This window comes from Homo sapiens, chromosome 17, assembly GCF_000001405.40.
Source record: "Homo sapiens chromosome 17, GRCh38.p14 Primary Assembly".
NCBI lineage: Eukaryota > Metazoa > Chordata > Mammalia > Primates > Hominidae > Homo > Homo sapiens.
Genome location: NC_000017.11, coordinates 66397730 through 66421045, shown reverse-complemented (window position 1 = coordinate 66421045; position 23316 = coordinate 66397730). Strand labels below are relative to the sequence as shown.

General features: G+C 42.5%; 1 protein-coding gene and 1 long non-coding RNA gene across 9 annotated transcripts in view, besides 2 other annotated features; one reads left to right on the top strand and one right to left on the bottom strand.

Moving 5' to 3' along the window:
* Nucleotides 1-23316, bottom strand: part of PRKCA (protein kinase C alpha) — a 508131-nt gene that overhangs the window by 389698 nt on the left and 95117 nt on the right. The gene's annotated exons all lie outside the window — the stretch shown is intronic.
* On the top strand, nt 4192-22977 carry PRKCA-AS1 (PRKCA antisense RNA 1). The gene is made up of 4 exons (NR_110822.1): nt 4192-4503; nt 5261-6076; nt 8284-8361; nt 22828-22977. It is a non-coding gene; the product is annotated as a PRKCA antisense RNA 1 (long non-coding RNA).
* Nucleotides 4206-4705: an enhancer, noted in NCBI's record as "H3K4me1 hESC enhancer chr17:64412459-64412958 (GRCh37/hg19 assembly coordinates)". NCBI's record gives its function as "activates a minimal SCP1, AML or CMV promoter by ChIP-STARR-seq in primed H9 embryonic stem cells {active_cell/tissue: H9 hESC(primed)}" and the evidence as "EXISTENCE:reporter gene assay evidence [ECO:0000049][PMID:30033119]".
* Nucleotides 6681-6975: an enhancer, noted in NCBI's record as "tiled region #12714; HepG2 Activating non-DNase unmatched - State 6:EnhF, and K562 Activating DNase matched - State 7:EnhWF". NCBI's record gives its function as "activates a minimal TATA promoter and a strong SV40 promoter by Sharpr-MPRA in HepG2 and K562 cells {active_cell/tissue: HepG2 | K562}" and the evidence as "EXISTENCE:reporter gene assay evidence [ECO:0000049][PMID:27701403]".

Below are 23316 nucleotides of genomic sequence, written 5' to 3'. Positions count from 1 at the left end.
CACCAGACAGTCATCCACCAATTTAGAACCTAGGAAGACAGGTTTCCCATGACAGCATAACAATAATGCATTATCAACAAGCTAGTAGAAATTCCAGTCCTTTCTTTCTTCAGGGTTAATTTCTCTCATTATGTGAAGGGGGTTTTGAAATTCCACAAAGGAGGGGAATGCAGGGGACAACGACATCACTGAATTCCAAAACTTCAGGCCAAAAGAGAACATTGATTTGACTGTCTTCTTAGTCCAAAACTGGTCTCAAAATGATAAAAATCGCCAGTCAAAATCCTCCAAATGTCTTTTCTTCCCTCTGACTACAAATGCTCCATGCTCCTCAACCTAGAATGGGTTACATCCCGAAAAACCACCATATATTGAAAGTATTGTCGTGCATTTAATACACCTAACACCATATCGTAGCCGAGCCTACCTTAACCGTCCACAGAACACTTACATGAGCCTACAGTTGGGTAAAATCATCTCATGCAAAGCCTATTTGATAATAAAATGTTAAGTATCTTGTGTATTTACTGAATGCTGTGCTGAAAAATGAAAAACAGAATGGTCGTACAGGTACTTGAAGTACAATTTCTACTGAATTTCTATCACTTTTACACCGTCATGAAGTTGAAAAATCTTAAGCCAAACCATGCTAAGTTGGGACCATCTGTATTAGTTCTGACTCTTGACTAAAGCTTAGACAAAGCTGATGCTTCATAAACTTTAAGAACATGTCCCCTGGCCAGGTGTGGTGGTTCACGCCTGTCATCCTAGCACTTTGGGAGGCCAAGGCAGGTGGATCACCAGGTCAGGAGATCAAGACCATCCTGGCCAACATGGTGAAACTCCGTCTCTACTAAAAATACAAAATTAGCCGGGCGTGGTGGCATACTTCTGCAGTCCCAGCTACTTGGGAGGCTGAGGCAGGGGAATCGCTTGAACTCAGGAGGCGGAGGCTGCAGTGAGCCGAGATTGCGCCACTGTATTCCAGCCTGGTGACAGAGCAAGACTCCGTCTCATATTTAAAAAAAAAAAAAAAAAAAAAAGAACACAACCCAGAATGGGGTTTGTTTACCCCTTCAACAAACACTGACTGAGGACGCATTATGTTTACTACACATTGCTGTGGCTCAGTAAGTGCTGGGCACAAGATGTCAATAAATGAAGAAATACATGGATGGACCTATGCCTTGGAGACTTTCCCAATCATGCCCCAAGACATCAATCTCCAAGACTCTATTAAACTTGTAAGTTTAATAAAGTAGGCAGGTTTCTTTTTTCTTTAACATATGAAGCATAATATAATCTGATGATTCAGAAGGGACCTCAAGATTGTGTTGTGCCGTTTTTCTCATGCGGAGTGTTTAATTCTGGTTAGTAAAACTTTGAACCAAAAAAAATTCACATATAATTCACATCAAGTGACTAAAGACAGATACAATATGGGCATTTTGATGTGTACATTTGTACTTGACCAGGGCACAATTTATAATATACTAAGAAAACTTTAAAAATTAATTATAAAATGAGTATTTTTAGCACCCTTAGTAACAGCTACTTGTTTTAAACTATTATTTCGTTTTTGGTGACCAAATTATATTTGACCATAATTAAAGAACATATAACCTTAAAATAACATTTAAGAAACACAGTTACAACAGACACATGTTATATTAAATGAAGAAAGGAAAGAAATGTACATGTATTAAAGGGTACTGAGGTTTTTCAAACCCATTCTTTTGAAAAGGCCTTTTTATTCACTTTCATTTAAGTCAATTTAAACCTAAAAAATGTCTCTACTCAGTATGCTTACAGAAAGAGGTGACATCAGTGTTGAGCACATGACTGCCTAACAACCACTCAGTGCTAATCATTGAACTAGTATTCTTATTTGATTATCCTAACATAATAATTGAGCCCATGTATATACGCAAGATATGGAGGATCCAACTGATCAACTGCAGAAAGAAAAACACTCAAAAAATGCTGAGGCCAGGTGCAGTGGCTCAAGCCTGTAATCCCAGCACTTTGGGAGGCTGAGGTGGGCGATCACGAGGTCAGGAGATCAAGACCATACTGGCTAACACGGTGAAACCCCTTCTCTACTAAAAATACAAAAAAAAAAAAAAATTAGCCGGGCGTGATGGTGGGCGCCTGTAGTCCCAGCTACACAGGAGGCTGAGGTAGGAGAATGGCGTGAACACAGAAGGCGGAGCTTGCAGTGAGCCGAGATCGCGCCACTGCACTCCAGCCTGGGCAACAGAGTGAGACTCCCTCTTAAAAAACAAACAAACAAAGAAAAACGCTGAAACCGGCTGGGAGCAGTGGCTCGTGCCTATAATCCCGCACTTTAGGAGGCTGGGGCTGGAAGATCACTTGAGGTCAGGAGATCGAGGCCACCCTGGCCAATATGGTGAAACCCCGTCTCTACTAAAAATACAAAAATTAGCCAGGCGTGGTGACATGCACCTGTAAGTCCCAGCTACTTAGGAGGCTGAGGCAGGAGAATTGCTTGAGCCCGGGAGGCAGAGGTTGCAGTGAGCTGAGATCGCGCCACTGCACTCCAGCCTGGTGACAGAGCAAGACTCCATCTCAAAAAAAAAAAAAAGGCTAAAACAAATGACAAATGGATATGACTGAATCACTGTACCTTTTTGACACAACCTTAAATCTTGGTTTTACTGTTTACTGTATATTATTTGGTACTTCTGGATTCAGTAGTCGGAGTAAAAACAAGTTTCTGTATTCAAACATATCTACAGAATGTCAATATAAAATATATGCATATATACATTTACTATACACATACGCGCACACACACAAGTAGGCAGTTTTCTCATAGCTTTTAGATCTGCTTAATCCACAGACATCTGCAAGCCATTCCCATCTTTTTCAGCAAGAACTGTCCTTCCTTCACACCTGCACGTCCTTCCAAATGGGGGACACAGCTTCAACAGAAGACAGTAAAACCCACGCGCACCAAAAAGTTTACAGAAATGTGTGCTGAGTGATCCTCACTGCCCATGAAGAGGTCCACGCTCAAACATGGCTAATTTGGGGAAAATAAAACAGAGAGTGTGCAACATTGCTGTGCAGATTTGTGTTTTGTATTCCTAGCATGGGAGTTACCATAGAAATAAAAGAGGTAAGTAGTTTAAGAAAAATCCCAGTTGCATGCATCCTGGGGACTGTGAACCAAAGAATGGCCTGAGCAACTCTAGGACTCTTTTTTGCCATGAAGAGAACGATATTTAAATTGGATTTCAACAGAGGAATAACTATCTCTATCAGGAAAAGTCCTGTGTTTCACCTTCCACTACCTGAGAGGCAGCCAAACAAAAGACCAAACGTGAGCCTGGGCAATGGGCAACAGGTAGCTGTCGCTTTGCAGTGACACTGGAGGCAGAGGGACCCTCCTTACCTGGGGTGGTATGCAACTGAGAAAAGAGACAGCAGGAGCTCTCTGCAGGTACATGTGATGAGTGTTTGCTCAACTGAAAATCTAAGCTTAGAGCAATTCCAGAGAGAGAATGCAAGTCTCTACAAGCAGAAATGGCCTGAAGCCATCCTTGCAGCCTAGGAATGGATGGGCCACAGAGGCAACACAGGACAGTAAGAACCAAAGATGATAATCCAGGCAAAGACAAATTCCTCTGCTGCACCTGGCTAGGGATTTCACCAGATCTTTAGGGACCAAAGTTCACACTAGCCAGACAGTTTTGTGGTATTAGGGCACCTGTATCTGTAATTATACCTAAATTGAACAATACGGTAAACTGCAGTAAACTATGCTATGGATTTAATAATTTTCAATTAATCTTTTTATTGTATTAAAAAAAAAAAAGGCCAGGCTGGGCACGGTGGCTCACACCTGTAATTCCAGCACTTTGGGAGGCCGAGGCAAATGGATCACTTGAGCTCAGGAGTTTGAGACCAGCCTGGCCAACATGGCAAAACCCCCATCTCTACCAAAAATACAAAAATTAGCTGGGCGTGGTAGGGGGCACCTGTAGTCCCAGCTGCTCAGGAGACTGAGGCAGGAGAATCACTTGAACCCAGGAGGCGGAGGTTGCAGTGAGCCGAGATCGCGCCATTGCACTCCAGCCTAGGTGACAGAGCGAGACCGCCCACCCACCCCCAACTTTTTTTGAGACAAAGGCCAGAGTTCCAGAACCTTTTCCAATACTGTGACACATGGACAGGGTAGATCTCAGACAGACAATCCACAGTGAGGTTTCTGGCACCCGGGGTGTGCAGTCCACACACAGGAACAGGATGTTTCCAGCAGGAGGAGGAAGCACAAGGTTACACAGGCTTCAGAGTCAGGCTGCCAGGGATCAAATCCCAGCACCTCCTTTTTCCTGTGATGGGGCTTGTTCAACTTCTTTGATATCTCTAAACTAGGGATAACAACAGCACCCGCTTGAGACTATTGGGTGGATTGACTGAACTCATCTATGTAAAATGCCCAGCACACAATAAGCTTCATCAGCTGTTATAATTAAGGTCAGTCCTTGAAAAGGCTTAGTGGAGTTTGGGCAGGTGGCTACACGGTGGGAGAGGATCCAGCTGTGCCTGTCAGTCCCCAGCTGCCGGCCACATGGATGCTCCCCACTCCCCTAGCCACCTCTGCCTGTGTACGCTTCTGACACTACGCTGCCTCTGCTTCCCTCTCCCTGTTCCAGCACGTCGGGCACACACGTGGAGTTGCACTAATGCCATTCCGCTGCAGCTTTCTGCATGGCCCACACCCATCTTTTCCTGGGTGTCCACTCTCAGCCAGTCAGGATGGTGGTTGCCCATCCTGCAGGGGTCCAGGACCTGTAGCCTGTGTGATAGACACCAGCAGCAGCTAGTCTATCAGCCACCTCAGTAGAGGCAGGTGACAACAGTGCAGGCTCTTTCATGATGGTAGACTTTGGAATTAGTTACAGATGAGTAAGAGAAACCCATAGTGAGGGAGGGGGTCTTACCGGTTCATTCATCCATTTAACCACCATTTACAGAATGCCCACTGTGTGCCAGTCAGTATCCAGAATTCCCAAAGAGGCACCTAACGAATGGGAATGCATGCAGCCTGACAGTGTGGGTGGCTTGTCACTTACAGCAGCCTCCTGCCCAGGTTTCTTTAAGCCTTTCAAGGACTGACCTTAATTATAACAACAGCTGATGAGTGCTTATGTGCCAGGCATTTTATATGGACGGATTCATTCAGTCCACCCAACAAGTTTGAGCAGGCACTGTTGTTATCCCCATTTCACAGATGAGGAAGCAGACGCAAAAAAGGCAACCAGGCAAAGTCCCTATCGCCCAACCTACCCAGAAACCAACAGACCCCAGGGCACTTCGAGCTGGAAAGGGCTAGAAAGCTTACCACTTTTTTTTCTTTGAAGCTGAACACTTCTTTGAACGCTTTCTCTAACATCGATTTAAGGATATCTTTGATCTTTGTGGAAACAAAGAAGAATGCTTTAAGACTGCGCTTAGAAATCTGGCCGTTTGGTTTTAAGGTCATTGGCCTCTGCCTACCGTGCTCCTGAATGAATAGCTCAGGACTTCCAGGGCTACCTTTGGGCCAAAAGTTAATAATTTACAGCTGAGCAAGTGTAGGTAAACTGCCACTTTACAGCAAGCTTCTAATCCCTCACTGATCACTTTGAAAATTACAAAGGACATTCACTTCAAGTGTGAGCCAATTCAGAATCAACCTCATGCTAATTTGATATAAGCTGTTCACTGAGGGAAAAAGTCCAAAGGAGGTTCTAACTTATTTTCTAAATGGACATCGTATCAAAATTAAAAATTCAATGACAGCATCTTTTAGCTCAATCATAGTTAAGTATATAATACTGCTGAATTTAAAGTCAGCAGAGATTATCTAGACTTTACTATGAAATATAGACAAGCTGTGCTTTTAAAAGGTTTATTTAAATTACTGATTATAAAAGTAATCCAAGCCCATTTGTGAAAATTTGGAAAATGTGGAAGAGTATAAAGAAAAAAAAAACTACTCATTCTATGAGCACCGAGAGATAAACGTTATCATGTTGGCGCACTTCCTTCTGGCCTTTTTCTCCAGGTACATTTAAGTATATTTTCATTCTGGTCTATTTATAGGCATTTGTACCTTGCCACTCTTCTTAACATCATGTCACTAAACTAGTCTTTAAAAACAATTTCTAGTGGCTTCATAGTATGTCTTACTATGAAGTAAGTCTCCTGGCATATAGTACATGCAGGAAGACCACAAGATATCAAACCAGCCCCTGACTTTTTCTATTTTCTCCAGTACAGTACACCTGGCGTTCACCAGACTATAACATCTGCTTGAATCACATTGTCACACACAAACAGAAACCAAGCAGAGTTAGTAGCAAAAGTCCTAAAAGGTTAGATCCACTGCCAAGCTGGTCATACCATATAAGACAAGCAAAAACATCCTTGGTTATACACATGTGAAGCAAAGTATGATGCTGTGTAATAAGAAATATGTATTTGGCCTCTGGTTGTATTCATCTGTTCTCTCATTGCTATAAGGAAATACCTGAGACTGGGTAATTTATACAGAAAAGAGGTTTAATTGCTTCACAGTTCCACAGGCCGTACAGGAAGCATGGTGACACGTTTCTGGGGAGGCCTCAGGGAACTTACAATCATGGCAGAAGGCAAAGCGGGAGGGAGGCATTTTCCATGGCAGAAGCAGGAGGAAGAAAGAGGGAGCAGGGAGGTGCTACACACTTTTAAACGACCAGATCTCGTGAGAACTCACTCACAGCACCAAGGTGATGGGGCTAAACCATTCCTGAAGGATCCACCCCCATGATCTAATCACCTCTCACCAAACCCCACCTCCAACACTGGGGATCACAATTCCTATGAGATGTGGGTGGGGATGCAGATCCAAACCATATCACTGGTATACATTTAGTTCCTGATGTAGAGCTCCTGAAACCCTTATAAATAGATAGGGAAATTACGTCCCTATCTATTTATATGCATCTTTCGTTCTCATATTTAATCTTTTTTTTTTTTTTTTGAGATGCAGTCTCACTCTGTCACCCAGACTGGAGAGCAGTGGTGCAATCCTGGCTCACTGCAACCTCTGCCTCCTGGTTCAAGCGATTCTCCTGCCTCAGCCTCCCCAGTAGCTGAGATTACAGGTGCCTGCCACCATGCTCAGCTAATTTTTGTATTTTTAGTAGAGACGGGGTATTGCCATGTTGGCAAGGCTGACCTCGAACTCCTGACCTCTAGTGATCTGCCTGCCTTGGCCTCCCAAAATGCTGGGATTACTGACGTGAACCACCACACCCAGCCCTGATACTTAATCTTTGACCCCAGTTCCTAACACAGAGCTCATAAGAGCTCTGTAATTTCCTGAGAGACCGGAGTGTCTGACACAGAGCTGCAAAATCTTTTGGAATCTGTTGGGTAATGGGAGCTTCTTTTGTTCTAATGAGGCGACACTTGGTGGGCTCCTCAATAGTCTCCTGATGCGTAGGTGGCTGGTTGCCAGGAAAATCATCTGATTAGAGGCTGAAACTCTCAACCCCACCCTCTGACCTCTGGGGAAGGGAGAGAGGCTGCGGGTTGAATTGATCACCAATGGTCAATGATGTAATCAATCATGTCTACATAACAGACAAGCTCCTGGTTGCTGAGGTGCCAGGAGGCTGGCACATCTGGAAAGGGCATGGATACTCCACCCCCCTGCCTACATGCCCTACTGTGCATCTCTTCCTTCTGGCTGTTCATCTGTATCCCTTGAAATATCCTTTATAATAAATCAGCAAATATAAGTATTTGCCTAAGTTCTGTGAGCTGCCCTAGTAGATGAACTGAGCCTGAGAAGGGGTGATGGGAAGCCAAAGTTAGAGACAGTCAGTCAGGAGCACAGGTCACAATCTGGCGATTTACGTTGGCATCTGAGGAGAGAAGCAGTAGTCTCTTGGGACTGAGCCCTTAACTTGTGGGATCTGACACTACTGCCAGGTGGGCAGCGTCAGAACTGAACTGAACTACACAGCTGGTGTCTGCTGGAGAATTGCTTGGTGTGTGTGTTGTGGGGGGTGCAGAATCTCCACATATCTGGTATCTGAAGTGTTGTGTTGAGTGGTGCATCAGAGTAGGAAGAACGCCTCGGTTCTTCCCATCTCTAATGGCTGGTATCTGCTGGGGAACGGATTGGCTGCTGGTGTGGAGAAATCCTCACGTTTTAGAGACCATGGAGGAAGTGATCTGGATTAGAATAGGAAAAACACTTTGGTTTTTTCCTATCTCTTACAGATCAGAGGAAGAGGAAGGGTGGTGTATCTTCATGAAACTACTAACCCAAACCCAGAACACAGCCATCTCGCTACTAAAGTAAGTCAAAAGCGCTTGGGAAATTCACAAAGGAAGGACACCAGAAAGCAGGTGGCACATAGCTCAGACATAAACCCCTGCAGAAGTTTGTGGGGCAAATGGGTCCCTGCAGCTCCTAGTGTGGACTCTCCCATTTTCCAAGGGCAGATGTTCACAAACCTGGGGCTCAGGACAAATACTCAGGGTTATTTCCCTTGAAGTGACACCTTAACTTTATTCATTTTAAAGAAAACGTCTGACAAATGCCCAAGTCTGAAAAACTGATTTGTCAGTCGCTCTTTTAAGTAAAAGTGCAAAAGTAAATAAATAAATAGAAATTTTAAAAATAGGCCAGGTGCAGTGGCTCACGCTTGTAATCCCAGCACTTCAGAAGGCCAAGCCTGGTGGACGACTTGAGCTCAGGAGTTCGAAACCAGCCTGGCCAATATGGAGAAACACTGTCTCTCCCAAAAATACAAAAATCAACTGGATGTGGTGGTGTGTGCCTTGGGAGGCTGAGGTGGGAGGATCACCTGAGCTCAGGAAGTCAAGGCTGCAGTGAGCAGTGATCGTGCCACTGCACTCCAGCCTGGGTGATGGAACAAGACCCAGTCTTAAGTAAATTAATTAATTAAACTAAGTAAAAGTGATGTTCCATGAAAATAGTGGCTAGTTCCATTCATTACTCAAAAAAAAAAAAAAAAGATTTTTTTTCCTGAAAAATAATGATCTCTCAGTGTCCAGAGGCACTTTATCCATACTTCTCATTTTATTACAAAGAATATTTTTAAAAAGTAATAAAAAGTAAGGTTTTTTTAATATTCTCAAAAATTACCAGAAAGTAGGCGGCCCATTGCTCAGACAAGAATCCCTGCAGCACAGTCAGGGTTTAATGACATTAATACTGCTTCATCAAGGCCACTCTCAAGTGAAACTGACTCTTTTCCTTTATTACTGCACTTGGTGGGAGGGGAAGATCAGGACGGCCGCTAGTGGCTGTGCCACTGCCTTGACTCACACCAAGACACAAGCAGTTTCGTCCACCTCTGCTTTTGCACCATTCGGGCAACTGTCAACAGTGAAAACAACAAAAGCATCTAAGTACTACCATGAAAAGTGGTTTGGCCTTAAAGACCCTCTGGTCTTGTAGACTCCCGGCAGTCCACAGACCATGCCTTGAGAATAGCTGTCCCAGAGGGCAGGCAAACTAAAACTTCAGGATGGGTTTTCATGGTTTTTTGTTTTTTTAACAAAACAATAAGTACACAGATAATCTCAAAACATCTAAGTGTGTCTAAAAGACCAAAGACTGCTGTTTTTAAAGACTTAAGAATTTGCAAGCATGGCTGCGCGCAGTGGCTCATGCCTGTAATCCCAGCACTTTGGCAGGATCCTTTGACCCCAGGAATTCAAGACCAGCCTGGATAACATAGAAAGAATCTATCTTAAAAAAAAAAAAAAAAGCCAGATGTTGGTGCTACAGGGGCACAACTATACTCTCAACTACTTAGGAGGCTAAGGTAGGAGGATCGCTTGAGCCCAGGAGGTTGAGGCTGCAGTGAGCCATGACTGCACCACTGCACTTCAGCCTGGGCGACAGGGCAAGACCCTGTCCCCAAAACAAAACAAACAAAACAAAAACAGAATTAACAGAGAATATATACAATTATCAAACATGGAAAATACTAAGTCTATGCACAGATCAGCTCACTCAGGCTCTGTGGGTGGGTAAGGGCATCTCTAAGGCAAAGCAAAAGCAAACTCCTGTCCAGAGTAGAGCGCACACATGAAAAAGTAATTTACTGGTTAAGTTCAAAAGTTCAACTACCTGGCTGGGCAAGGTGGCTCACGCCTGTAATCCCAGCACTTTGGGAGGCCAAGGTGGGCGGATCGCCTGAGGTCAGGAGTTTGAGACCAGTCTGGCCAACATGGTAAAACCCTGTCTCTACTAAAAATACAAAAATTAGCCAGGCGTGGTGGTATATGCCTGTAGTCCCAGCTACTCGGGAGGCTGAGGCAGGAGAATCGCTTGAACCTGGGAGGTGGAGGTTGCAGTGAGCCGAGATCGCGCCACCACACTCCAGCCTGAGTAACAGAGTGAGACTCTGTCTCAAACAAACAAACAAACAAAAAGTTCAACTACCTAACAATGTCAATGAATTGGAAGGAAATTTATATAACTGCTCTCAGAAACCAAAAATAACAATATTTTTTAAGCTAAGGTGTAATTTTCTTATATTGAAGTGTTTATTTAGCAGTTTCAGCAACTGCAAAAGATCCCTCAAACAAGGAAAAGCTATAATGACTTAGTCCAGTTTTCAGTGACAAGCAACACAGACCAGCCACGTCTGAGTTTCCATTTGTGAGTTCATTCATGGGAAATCTTTTTGCAGTGTTCACAGTATTCATCATGTACAAATATTCCTCATATAAATAGGAAAAAGCATCCCCAAATAATGAAAACACAAACAAAAAAATCATTAATCAAAAAAAAAAAATCTCTGTTGGTATCACCTATAAAATTAAAGAGAGATTCCCAAGGTAGAAATCCATTAATATATTTGCTATAAAGTTTAGTGAAAGGGACTGGGGAGATATTGAACCAGTCCTCACCTTCACTCCAAGCCTGGCATAGCACCTGGCACTAGGAGGCCAACAGCTGGTACTTGTTTATTGAACAAAGGAATGAACACACAAACGAACGAGTGAACAAAGTAGATGATGACAGACCAGCACGATCTACTAACTGAGTCTGATTTCTTCTCTTTTATTTATTTATTTATTCTTTGAGACGGAGTCTCACTCTGTCGCCCAGGCTGGAGTGCAGTGGCGTGATCTCGGCTCACTGCAAGCTCCACCTCCCAGGTTCATGACATTCTCCTGTCTCAGCTGGGACACAGGCGCCTGCCACCACGTCTGGCTAATTTTTTTGTACTTTTTAGTGGAGACGGGGTTTCACCGTGTTAACCAGGATGGTCTCGATCTCCTGACCTTGTGATCCGCCCACCTCGGCCTCCCAAAGTGCTGGGATTACAGGCGTGAGCCACCGCGCCCAGCCCTGAGTCTGATTTCTATGTGGAGCTCTCAGAATATTGAAGACTTCTGATTTTATCTATCTAAAATACAAGACTATTTTCAAATACAGAATTTTGAGAGGTTGATAGTTTCTAATACTTCCAATCCATCTGAGAGAGTGACAGCATATATTGTACAGAGCTATCAGGTATACTAATGCAGGCAACAGGCATTGGCTTTCCTAAGTTTTTCCATCCCTAGAAAAATAATCTATCATAAATGCTAATTCATCAATGGAACAGACATGGTCCACAGGAGTCCAAGACAAGGAGGTGTCACCTGCCTTGTATGCAAAAATAGAGAAGGCACAAGTTAGACATGGTACCCCCTAAGGCCTCACAGAAGCATCCAAGACTTTCAACAAGTGAACCTGAGGAGAAAGGGAGAACGAACCCCTAAGTCTTATTCACCCCCTGCCTCCATCCCATCCCAGCCCTGGTATATTCTGTCTTTCATGAGTGGACGTCACAGTGCTTCCTAAACTCCCTCAAGCCTTTACTTACAAGAGGTAACTCAAAAACTTACCAAAAAGTTAAGGTTTTCTGATAACTGACAACCACTATTTATTCTTCTTCTTTTTTTTTTTTTTTTTTTTTTGAGACTGGGGAGGGAGTGCGATGACGTGATCTCAGCTCACTGCAACCTCCGCCTCCCGGGTTCAAGCGATTCTCCTGCCTCAGCCTCCTAAGTAGCTGGGATTACAGGCGCACACCACCACGCCCGGCTAATTTTTGTATTTTTAGTAGAGACAGGGTTTCATCGTGTTGGCCAGGCTGGTCTTGAACTCCTAGCCTTGTGATCCGCCCACCTCGGCCTCCCAAAGTGTTGGGATTACAGGTGCAAGCCACCGCGCCCGGCCGACAACCACCATTTCAATCAAAAGTGCTATACTTCCCACACATCAACTCAACTAATGAGCAGCAAATTATTTGTTGCTGACCTCTTTTTCTGCTCTTATTACTGGTGAAGGTAAAATGAAATGAAGATTTGTGCTAAAAATGCATGAAGTAAGACTATAACCAATTTTTTAAAAAGCTAGATAAACCAAACAACGCATAAGGTAACAGAAGATTGACATAGACAGTCCCAGTTAGACAAGCACACGCAAACATATACACGGTGCTTTAATGCCCAAGCTGTATTTTATGTCATTGATTCAAATTAGTTGACATGGATTAAATGTATTCCCTCATTTTTACAAACTAGTTTTCAAAGCTCAAGTTACAATATTTGACAACCTTGAGACTAAAGTAATGCCCTAAAATGCAGTTCTCTAAATTATACCATTACAAAGGTACTAATTAATTAACAGTCAATGAAATATAGTCAATTCAATCTCATAGCCAGAAGGTCTAAAAACACTGGATAATCGGATTGAAATTCTTTTCCTTCCAAATATTCTTTCTTTCAAAATTTCAGTTTATCTGCAAATAACACGCTATCAACCTATAGTTGCCTTGGACAACCTATTTTGATTACAGCATCTTTTCCAGTAAATCTTTCTTATGCTGTATATCATCCATCTATCCAAAAGAGATACAGAAAGTGAATTAGTGTCAATGCCAATTTTTATAATACGTAATTGAGCATAACCTCCATGGAGGATGGGTGGTTCCAACAACAAATTACATAAATGCTCAAATCCTTACCCAACCTATTTCAAAAAGACGAATTTCAGCTTTTATGGAAGCAATGATTTTAAACTGCTTATCTGTTATTTCTAAGAAACACACATAAAAATCTATACCTATGTTACATCCAAACTTTCAATGGGGCTTGCAATGTTCAAGAATAAACACCATAATCCTTGGCAAGTTAGAAAATCGTAAAATTCTGTTAATGAACCATAAAATACAACACTTTTTTAAACTAATATGCTAATTTAACTGTAAAGAAAAGGAAATCTACTTTTTTTTTTTAAACAAAAAATGCAAAACATTTTTCAGAGTAGCAGAATCACATGAACTTCAAATGTGCATATACAAACTATATTTTCAGTCTAGCACAATTCCTGGGATATATTTAGGTCCAAATAAATAATGCATAGATGGTGCATTAGTCCATTTTCACACTGCTGTAAAGAAATACCTGTGACTAGGTAATTTATAAAGAAAAGAGGTTTAACTGGCTCACGGTACTGCAGGCTGTCCAGGAAGCACAGTGGCTTCCGCTTGGCTTCTGGGGAGGCCTCAGAAAACTTACAATCATGGCAGAAAGCAAAGCCGGAGCAAGCTTTCTTGCAGGCACAAGTGTCAGGGGAAGATTCTACACACTTTTAAACCACCAGATCCCCGAGAACTCACTATCACAGTAACAGCCCAAGGTGATGGTGCTAAACCATCCACAAAGGATCCGCCCCCATGATCTGATCACCTCCCACCAGGCCCCACCTCCAACACTGCGGATCACAGTTCCACATGAGATTTGGGTGGGGCACAGATCCAAACCTTTTTAAGACGGATAAAACCAATGGGAAAAAAAAAAAGGTTGGCTAAACACTACAATTCACAAATTTACTCATACTTCAACAAGGTGTCCACTGAACAAGCAAAATATTAGTTGCTCTGAATCTATGCAATGATGTAAAAATATTAAAACCCAGGCTTTCATTTTAAAGCAACGAAGAGTGTCTAGAGATCACACGGGAAAGACCTCTTTAGAAGTGCAATCGTTTTCTCAAAATTAGATTTCCTGGAAAGGAAGTGTCCTCTACAGATCAAGAAGTTGCCAGCAATTCGCAGTCCCTTAGAAGCAGACAGGAGCTCTTTTCTCCAGGTGTGGTAAAACTCTGCACTAAGCTGACATCCCTCTCTCACCTGGCAGACAGTGCAGGGCATGGCAAATGGGTGGAAAAGAATGAAAGTAGATGGCTGTGTAATTTTACCTACCTGGTATCAGGCTCCAACCACCCAAACGGATTAGCCCAACTGATCGAATGCATTCTTTAAATTTTAAGTTCTAACTGCCATCCAACTTCAGCACAAAGGATTCATATCCACCGGTATCTTTTCTATGACATTTAAAAAAAAAAAAAAAAAAAAAAAACCTGGAAAAGCTACAATGCTACATGAAGCTGCCTGGGCAGCGTTTTCTGCCCTGCCATAGACTCTTGGCAAAGGAGGCTGTGTATTTTCCAGGCATGATACAGAAAGTGATAATTAGCCACCTGGGCACCAGTTTTATTTTGGATTCCAGACAGACCTTTAGGTGATCCAGATAAGCCTTTTGTTCATGGAATGTTGTCAGCATCTGTACAATGGGGATCTTTTTATAAAGAACTTTAAGAGCATCCAATGAAACTTTCTTTTTAGAGCAAGTCTTCATAGTAAAGCAACTAAACCCATAAATAAGTCACATTTTTAATTCAAAGCTGCTTTCCCTCCCCCACCCCGTTCTTTAATGGGAGACCTGTAATTAAAATGAGCAAGAAATCAATGTACTGAAACCCAGAGGCAAATTTCTGTTATCCCGTCTTCCTAGACATCTGTAGCAAGGGATTCGGGGTGTGTTTGGAAACTGGCAATCATTCTAATGGGCTTCTGCCAGCTCCCATCACTCAACCCACTAACTCGATGATGACAGAGCAAACTAGGGCAGGCATTCAAATCTGACAGCTGGCTGGAGAAAAGGGAAGGAAGCCACATTTTTTAATGAAAAGATGAAAATAATGTATTCCATTTTTCCTCCACACCAACCATAATAATTGTCCACAGGAAGCCCCTGAAGCCCACTAATAGGAACACAGCCACAAGAAACTTGGCAGAGTCCAGCAAAGCATATTCTCCTACCAAAATGCTTGACTTTTTCAAGTTAAAAAAAAAATTGCCAATGAAGAGCACAGATAGCCATCTGCCAAGAACCTTCCATCTTCTCCATTCAGGCATTTGTACCTATTGGAAAGGATTAATTTTACGTGTAAAGGAATAGGGATTGAATGATTGGATTATAAACCCTTAGAGAAACATGCTTTGCCTACCAGGAACTTCTAAATTTACATTTTAAAGCCAACTAAATCTTTAAATGTCTACTCTATCTGTGAAATTCAAATAGCAATTACACAAGGGTTGGTTTTTTTTTTCTCCCTATTATTAATGAATATGCAGCAACAGAAAACGGATGCTAGAAGATCTAGTGGTACCACTAAATATAGGTAGTGTTTTCCAAGGAAAGCAAGGGCTGGACCCGATCCAGAGAGCATCACAGGGGAGTGGACAGCCCGTGGATTAGTCTGAGGAAAGCAGAGGGACAATGCTGGTTGTCAGTTCCAGTTCAACATCACTTTGCCAATGCACCATTTTCAATAAAATGAGAAGTGAGCAGAAAACTCTGGGTTTAAGTAATGGCACTTCAGGGACAGCAGGTTCACCAGCTGTGAAATCCCCACGGCCTTCAGGCAGCTTCATTCCCACACCTGCCTCACGTGTGGAGTGCACGCAGTGTCGGCACCTTGGGGAAGTGAACAGAGACCAGCCCATGGACAATCACTGTGCTCTGCCTTCTCTCCTGATGGGAGAGATAGGGGCGGGCTGAAATCCCAGGAAGAGCAGTTTCCATCCCATCAAAAAGGCCTACCCCTCTCTTGGCCGGGCGCAGTGGCTCACACCTGTAATCCCAGCACTTTGGGAGGCCGAGGTGAGTGGATCACTTGAGGTCAGGAGTTTGAGATCAGCCTGGCCAACATGGTGAAACCCCGTCTCTACTAAAAACACAAAAATTAGCCGGGCGTGGTGGCGTGCGCCTGTAATCTCAGCTACTCAGGAGGCTGAGGCAGGAGAAATGCTTGAACCCAGGAGACAGAGGTTGCAGTGAGCCGAGATCGTGCCACTGCACTCCAGCCTGCACTAGAGTGAAACGCTGTCTCAAAAAAAAAAAAAAAAAAAAAAAAAAAGGCCTACCATCCTTTCCAGCAGCCAGCATGGGAGTGTGTGGAACAGAGACTGAGGAGCCAAGGCAGAAGATTCAGGGTGAATAACAAGTTTGGTGCTTGCCTTGCAGCCTTGCTTCTTCGTATTTGGGTAGTTGCTAACAAGACAAACAGGTTCCAGCAATTCTCAAACGTTATTGCTAAGGACTAAGGGACAAGCTTGCTGCTAACTTCCTGAGGCTTGTAAACAGTAATCTGCCAAAAATAAGTAAGTAAAAGAACAAGAACTAAAGACATAAACACTAAGAATAGTACCCAACCGCCCTTGGCACTTTGGGCAGCGTAATGCTGCAATGTATTATCATAGGAAGCTTTCCCCTCCGCCGCCCCCATGAAGGAGTCAAGAATAGGAACCAGCTACTTGGCCAGGATTATTTGAAATTTGACGTTCCTAGAAGCAGAGGAGATTTCCTGTAGAGGCTTTTCTAGCAAGACAAAGTGAAAACTACCAACAAACATTTCCTGGGCTTCTCCTAGCACGAGGTCCTGCACAGGATACTGTCATGCAAATTAATATTTGTCCCTCTCTTTCCAGGCACCCAGGAATTGTAGTTTTCTGTGCAACAGAGATTGGGGAGCTAAGGCTGAGGATTCAGGGTGAATAACAAGTCTGGTGCTTGTCTGCAGAACAGCCAGCTGACTTTTGAAGTTGATTCCTCCAACATGATGAAGCGTATGTAGCTCAGGAAAAACGGCAGCTGGCCTTAAATCATATAGCATAAGCAAAGGGCTCTTCCCTGGACTATGTCTCATTTACTATTTGAATAAACAAAATTCAACAACCTGAACAATAAATAAAATAAAAAGGGAATCTGCTGGATCCACTGAAAAGTAATGCTTACTTATTCAAATTTATTATGCCCCATTTCCCCATGCATTACATTTAAACCTCTGATTTTTTAAAAGAATAACATCATTATTGAAAACTAATGTTATGCTTCAAAGCTCTATTACTTGAACTGTTCATAAATGGATTTATGGCTACTGCTGAGTTCTGTGAAAGACTGTATTGTATGCCTTCTCCTTCAGTTTCACCAAGACTATTAATAAAGATATCCCTACATCAACATTTGCCCTCCTGCAGGGAGCTAGGTATTCATACCTGAAAAAAACTTTCACTTAAATTGCTTTAATGGGTTTTAAGTAAAACACTACTCCCAGTGATTTATTTTTCCCTTTGATTGGCCAAGGATTTGAATTATAGCTCACAGGGTAAATTCATAAATAATCATGCTAACACCTTATTTAGGAGCTATAATGCAATAGGAGCTGCAGGTTTCTATCTGCCCATTGTTGAAGCCTCCTAAACATTACAGAGCTGTGTATGTAGGTGTGTATGGAATAATACATCATCCAATATATAGGCATCTCTGTCTCTCCCACTAAATCAGGGTCAGGAATGATATCTCCTTTGTAGACTAAATTGGAAACCAGGTATATTTCAGAGACTAATAGGAGCTTCTTAGCTTTTAAAACATGTAATATTAAACCACATTGCAACAATTTCAATATGTCCCCAGCATAAGATTTCTCAACACAAGTCACCAAGAATGGAGGGCATGCTATCATTTAAGTCACTGGACTGAAAATAACCCAAACATAGAGTAGATTCTTAATATAACACTGTTAAAATAACAGAATGTCACATACTCAATGACAGCTCAAACCGTGATAATAAAGAAACCAATCAATCAATAAATGTGACTAAAAGGACCACCTTGTGCAGAAAAGAAACCAAAACCACTGTTCTTGCAGGAGGCAGAGCCAGGACAGGCTCCAATATTTAGGAGCTTTCTCTATCCAACTCTGTTTACTGTCCCTATTTTTCCCTTATGATTAAACTTTTCATCTTCATTTAAAAAAACAAATTTCACAAAGCTTTCAGCCCATCTCTTCCAGTGTCTTCTAGAACTTGGTTCTATGAATTATTCCTTCTTTACCCTAAATCTTCAACTTCTCCCTCAAAACCAGCAAACATCTCAGTGCTCTGGTAAATGGTGACATCTACACAGGTTATGAGAAACTGGGCTCTCTTATTGCTGGTGTCACCCAGAGCCACTTGACATCCTTGTACCTCAGTTTCTCATTCATAACACTGGGAACAGTAATTGTCCCAACACCTCAGACTTGTTGGATGGATTTGATGAGCTCTTTGATATACAGCTGTTGGATGTAGGTGATATGGAGCAAGCCCTCCAAAATGTCAGCTACTTTAATTATCAACAACCTCTTCCCTTGCCCTGTAACATGCTCAAGTCTCTCATATTCTTTAAAAAAAAAAAAAAAAAAAAATTTCTTGGCCTCTTTTTCACTTTTCTCTCTTTCCTTCTAAGTTTCCTGAAGGAGTACTCCATAGTCACTCTACTGCCATTATAAACATTTACCTGAAATTAGTTTCCCACAACCACCAAGCTCCTAAAACCGCCTGGACAAAGGTCCTAAGGATCTTCACACGGCCTGGTATCTCCACGCTGCCAAACTTATTCAGTCTTTGTATCTTGACACTGCCAAGTGACTCCATCTTTACATTCTAAGACCTCTTTTGCTACATCTGAAGTTCCTGACCACTCACTCATTCTGGAACCTTTCTACTTTCCCCAGCCCCTGAGACACGACTCCCTCTTGGTCCACCCCGATTCTCATTCTCCAGCTCCTTGGTGGGCTGCTCCTTTTCTTTGTGCCCCTCCAACATAGGGGATGGATCTGCTTTCATAGTTTTAACTACTGCATACATCTAATAAGAACCAAGAGTGTGTCTCTATCTGAATCTGTCAAATTTGACTCACAAACCCAAGGTGAACTGGACATCACCATTTGTGTCTTCTACAGACACATCAAACCCAAAATGTCCAAAAGGGAATTGATCCTGTCCACCCTCAGTGTCTATTCTTATATTCCTAATTTCAGATCACGGAACCACTGCCAGAAATCTGTGGGTTATCTTCAATGTTCCCTCTGTCTCACCACTCATACACTTAACCGGCATATGGCTGCTAATTTTTTTAAGTATTTGGCAGGTTTTCTCCCTTCTCCTCATTCTTACTACCACTGCCCTAGTTCATTCCTTATCTCACTTGAACTTTCACAAAAACCTCTTACCTAATCTCTCTGCCTCCACCTCCACATTGCCCTCAGAGTGGTCTGCAGAGAGCACAAAGCCGTCCACATCACTGAATGCGTCATGAGCTTTCCATCAATGATTGCATAAAAACCACGTTCTCTGACATACATCCAGCCAACTTCTTTGGCCTCACCTTCTGCCTATCATCTCCCTGAATGTCATGTCCACTTGGCATCATGTCACCTATGGTTTCCTATACAGGCTTTCCAATTGCTCAAAGTGGGTCCAGCCGCAGGCACTCCACTCACACCTCCCAGGTTAGCAGGTGAACTCCTACCATCTTCCAAATTCAGCTCTGGCTTTACCTGCAAGAAGCCTTCTTTATCCCACGTCACAAGCTGACCTGGTTTAGTGCTTCCTTTCCTCATCCCTCACCTGCGCTCCTATGGCAACCCATGGCCACCTTCCTTTGCCACTTCATTTGCCCGTTCCTACAAAACGTGGCTACTTCTCATCAGTCCCTTGAGGGCGGGAACTGTGTTCTGGTTATCTTCATGTTCTCAACTGCCACACAGTAGGACTCATTATTAACTGAACTGAGAACATTTGTACTAAATTATAAGCAAAAAGAAACACCCCAAATACTTAAAGAAGAACAATGCCTGGAATAGTTTTGTACAACCAGTATTCTGAGATAGGTATCAATATGGACATATATGGTATACTCATCCTCCCCTGGGGAGTAAAGCAGCAAACATAGATAAATCACTCATCACAATATTCGTTTATAACCATGAAGAAAAGCTTGACATAATAAACTATAGATAGTCTTCATGCCCATTAGGATGGCTACTGTTTCTAAAAGGTGTTGGCAATGATGCAGAGAAATTGGAACCTTTGTGCACTGTTGCTTAGACTGTAAAATGGTTGTAACCACAATGGAAAATTGTACAGAAGCCCCTCAAAAAATTAAATAGAACCATCATGTAATCCAGCAATCTCAATTCTGGCTATCTATCCTAAAGAATTGAAAGCAGGGTCTCAGAAATATTTGTACACCCGTGTTCATAGCCACACTACTCAAGAGTAGCCAAGAGGTGGAAGCAACGAAGAGTTGTTGTTTGATAGGCAGACAGTTTCAGTTTTGCAAGACGAAAAGTTCTGGAGGTCTGTTTCAAAAGGTGACTATAGTTAACCCAGGCATGGTTGCTCATACCTGTAATCCCAGCACTTGGGGAGGCCAAGGCGGGGGGATCACTTGAGGTCAGGAGTTTGAGACCAGCCTGGCCAACATGGCAAAACCGCATCTCTACTAAAAATGCAAAAATTAGCTGAGCGTGGTGGCACGCACCTGTAGTCCCAGCTACTCAGGTGGCTAAGGCACGAGAATTGCCTGAACCCATGAGGTGGAGGTTGCAGTGAGCCGAGACTGTGCCACTGCACTCCAGCCTGGGCGACAGAGCTAGACTCCATCTCAAACAACAACAAAAAAAGGTGAATATACTTAACACTACTACCAAACCGTATGTGTACAAGTGGTTAAAACTGTAATTTTATTCATTGACAGATTAAAAAAATAGAATGATGTTGAAGATCCCTAACACAAAAATCTGAAATCTGAAATGCTCCAAAATTCGAAACTTTTTAAGTACCAACATGATGCTCAAGGAAATGCTCATTAGAGCATTTCAGATTTCTGGATTAGGGATGCTCAACCTGGAAGAATTATGCAAATATTCCAAAATCTAAAAAAATCCCCAATCTGAACCATTTCTGATCCCAAGCATTTCAGATAAGGGATATTCAATGTACATATCCATATATATAATGTTATATTATTCAGCCCTGAAAAGGAAAGGAAGCCTGTCACATGCTACAATGTGGGTGAGCCTGGAGGATAGTACGCTAAGTGAAACAAGCGAATCACAAAAAGACAAATACTGTATGAGTCCATTTATGAGTTAGTTAAAGCAGTCAAATTCATAGAAACAAAGTAGAATAGTAACTGCCAAAGCCTAGGAGGAAGAGGAAACCAAGAGCTGTTGTTTGATAGGCAAACAGTTTCAGTTTTGCAAGATGAAAAAGTTCTGGAGGTCTGTTTCAAAAGGTGAATCTACTTAACACTACCAAACTGTAGGCTTGCAAGTGGTTAAGATTGTAATTTTTATGTTAGGCGTCTTTTACCACAGTTTTTTGTATAGATTAAAAACTGCAGATTGAAATTTTGAAAAACTTAAAAGGAATACCCAAATTTTCATTTACTGCTTTAAAACAAATGCTGTCAGCCAGGTAATCCCAGCACTCTGAGAAGCCAATGTGGGCGGATCACTTGAGCTCAGGAGTTCAAGACCAGACAATGGGGCGAAATCCCATCTTCTACAAAAAAATACAAAAATTAGCCGGGCATGGTGTCCCACTACTTGGAAGGCTGAGATGGGAGGATCAACTGAGCCCAGGAGGTTGAGGGTACAGCGAGCCGCGATCGCACCACTGTACTCCAGCCCGGAAGACAGAGCAAGGCCCTGTCTCAAAAAAAAAAAAAAAAGAAAAGAAAAGAAAAGAAAATGCTGTCTACCACATGGTGCATCAATATCCACAGCATCATTCCTCTGTGCTTTCTACAGCCAAACTGCCCATATATTTCTTCTCTAAATTGGATCTTAATCTACATGAGAAAATGCAGAACCAGTAAATACAAAAATCGAGCATTAAATAAAATTAAGTATCTCAAACGAGAAGTTCGATTTTTAAAGTAAACATCATCACTCTGTCTGCCCAGTGCACTAAAATCTCTGGAAGCTTTTAGCAGCAGCAGGATCCTAATTGCATAACCTTGTTTCCAATGAGTGAGAAATTATGCTATAATTTTACTTATCAAAAGAACATATGAGTAGCGCGACGCCACCCACCTCCCCATCATCCATCTGCCTTTCTCGTTCATTAATTACATATGCTTCCGACTCTTCCTTTCTGATTACCCTGAACACTAACACTCTCCAAATGGGGACTGTTCCCTCTCTGTCTTGCTTCCAAATTGTCTGATTAAACCACACTCCTCACAGCTTCTAATCCTACAGTTACCCAGGGAGCTTTCCTTCCCCAATCTTACTCTCTCCACACCAAAATGCCTTCCTCACTCCAACTATCACTTAGTTCTTTGCCACTTAACTTTTTCAGCTAATCTTCCAAATTAGCCCATCACCAACTTTGATTTTTCTCCTAAGATGTTTAAAGCCATCATGAGCCACTATTCACTTCAAAAGTGTGGTTGGGTTTTGAGTCTATTATTGTATGACCACCACCTTGTTTCTTCAGTTTCCCTCTAGGGGTATAAATCGTGTCTGCATGTGGCAGATAGAATCTGTGGGCTGGAATCTTCATGGTTTTAAGCGTTACTCTGATTTTAGTCTGTTTCATTTCCTTCCAGGTCTCAGAGATATTGAGCTTGGACTTCGACCATGGGTTCTGGAGTCCATTCAATTCCCAGCCTTGGCCATTCCTGGCTGTGTAATTTCAAGGAAATTACCTAAACACTCTGAGTTTTGATTCTATCGTCAATAAAATGAAGGAAATGCTAGCATTTGCCATGTACATTGACATAGGGATTAATCATGGAAATAAAGAGTTGAGGTCCATGTCCTGGTACAGAGACTCAAAAAATCCTCAGTGATGGTAGATGCCAGCTCCCTTGGGGAAGGAAATATGATGGCTCTACTTCTTTGGAGTTTAGACGATGTCACAGAGCCTTATCCTGAGGAGCTCCCTGACTCTGCAGAGGCCATGAACAATGTCACAAACAGAGTTGGACGACAGTGGTGCCATCAGGATGCAGGCATCAGCACTGTATCCTGAATAATGGTACCATTAAGAGTAACTCCCCTTGAATGGCTCACACCCCCCATGACACATTACAGAC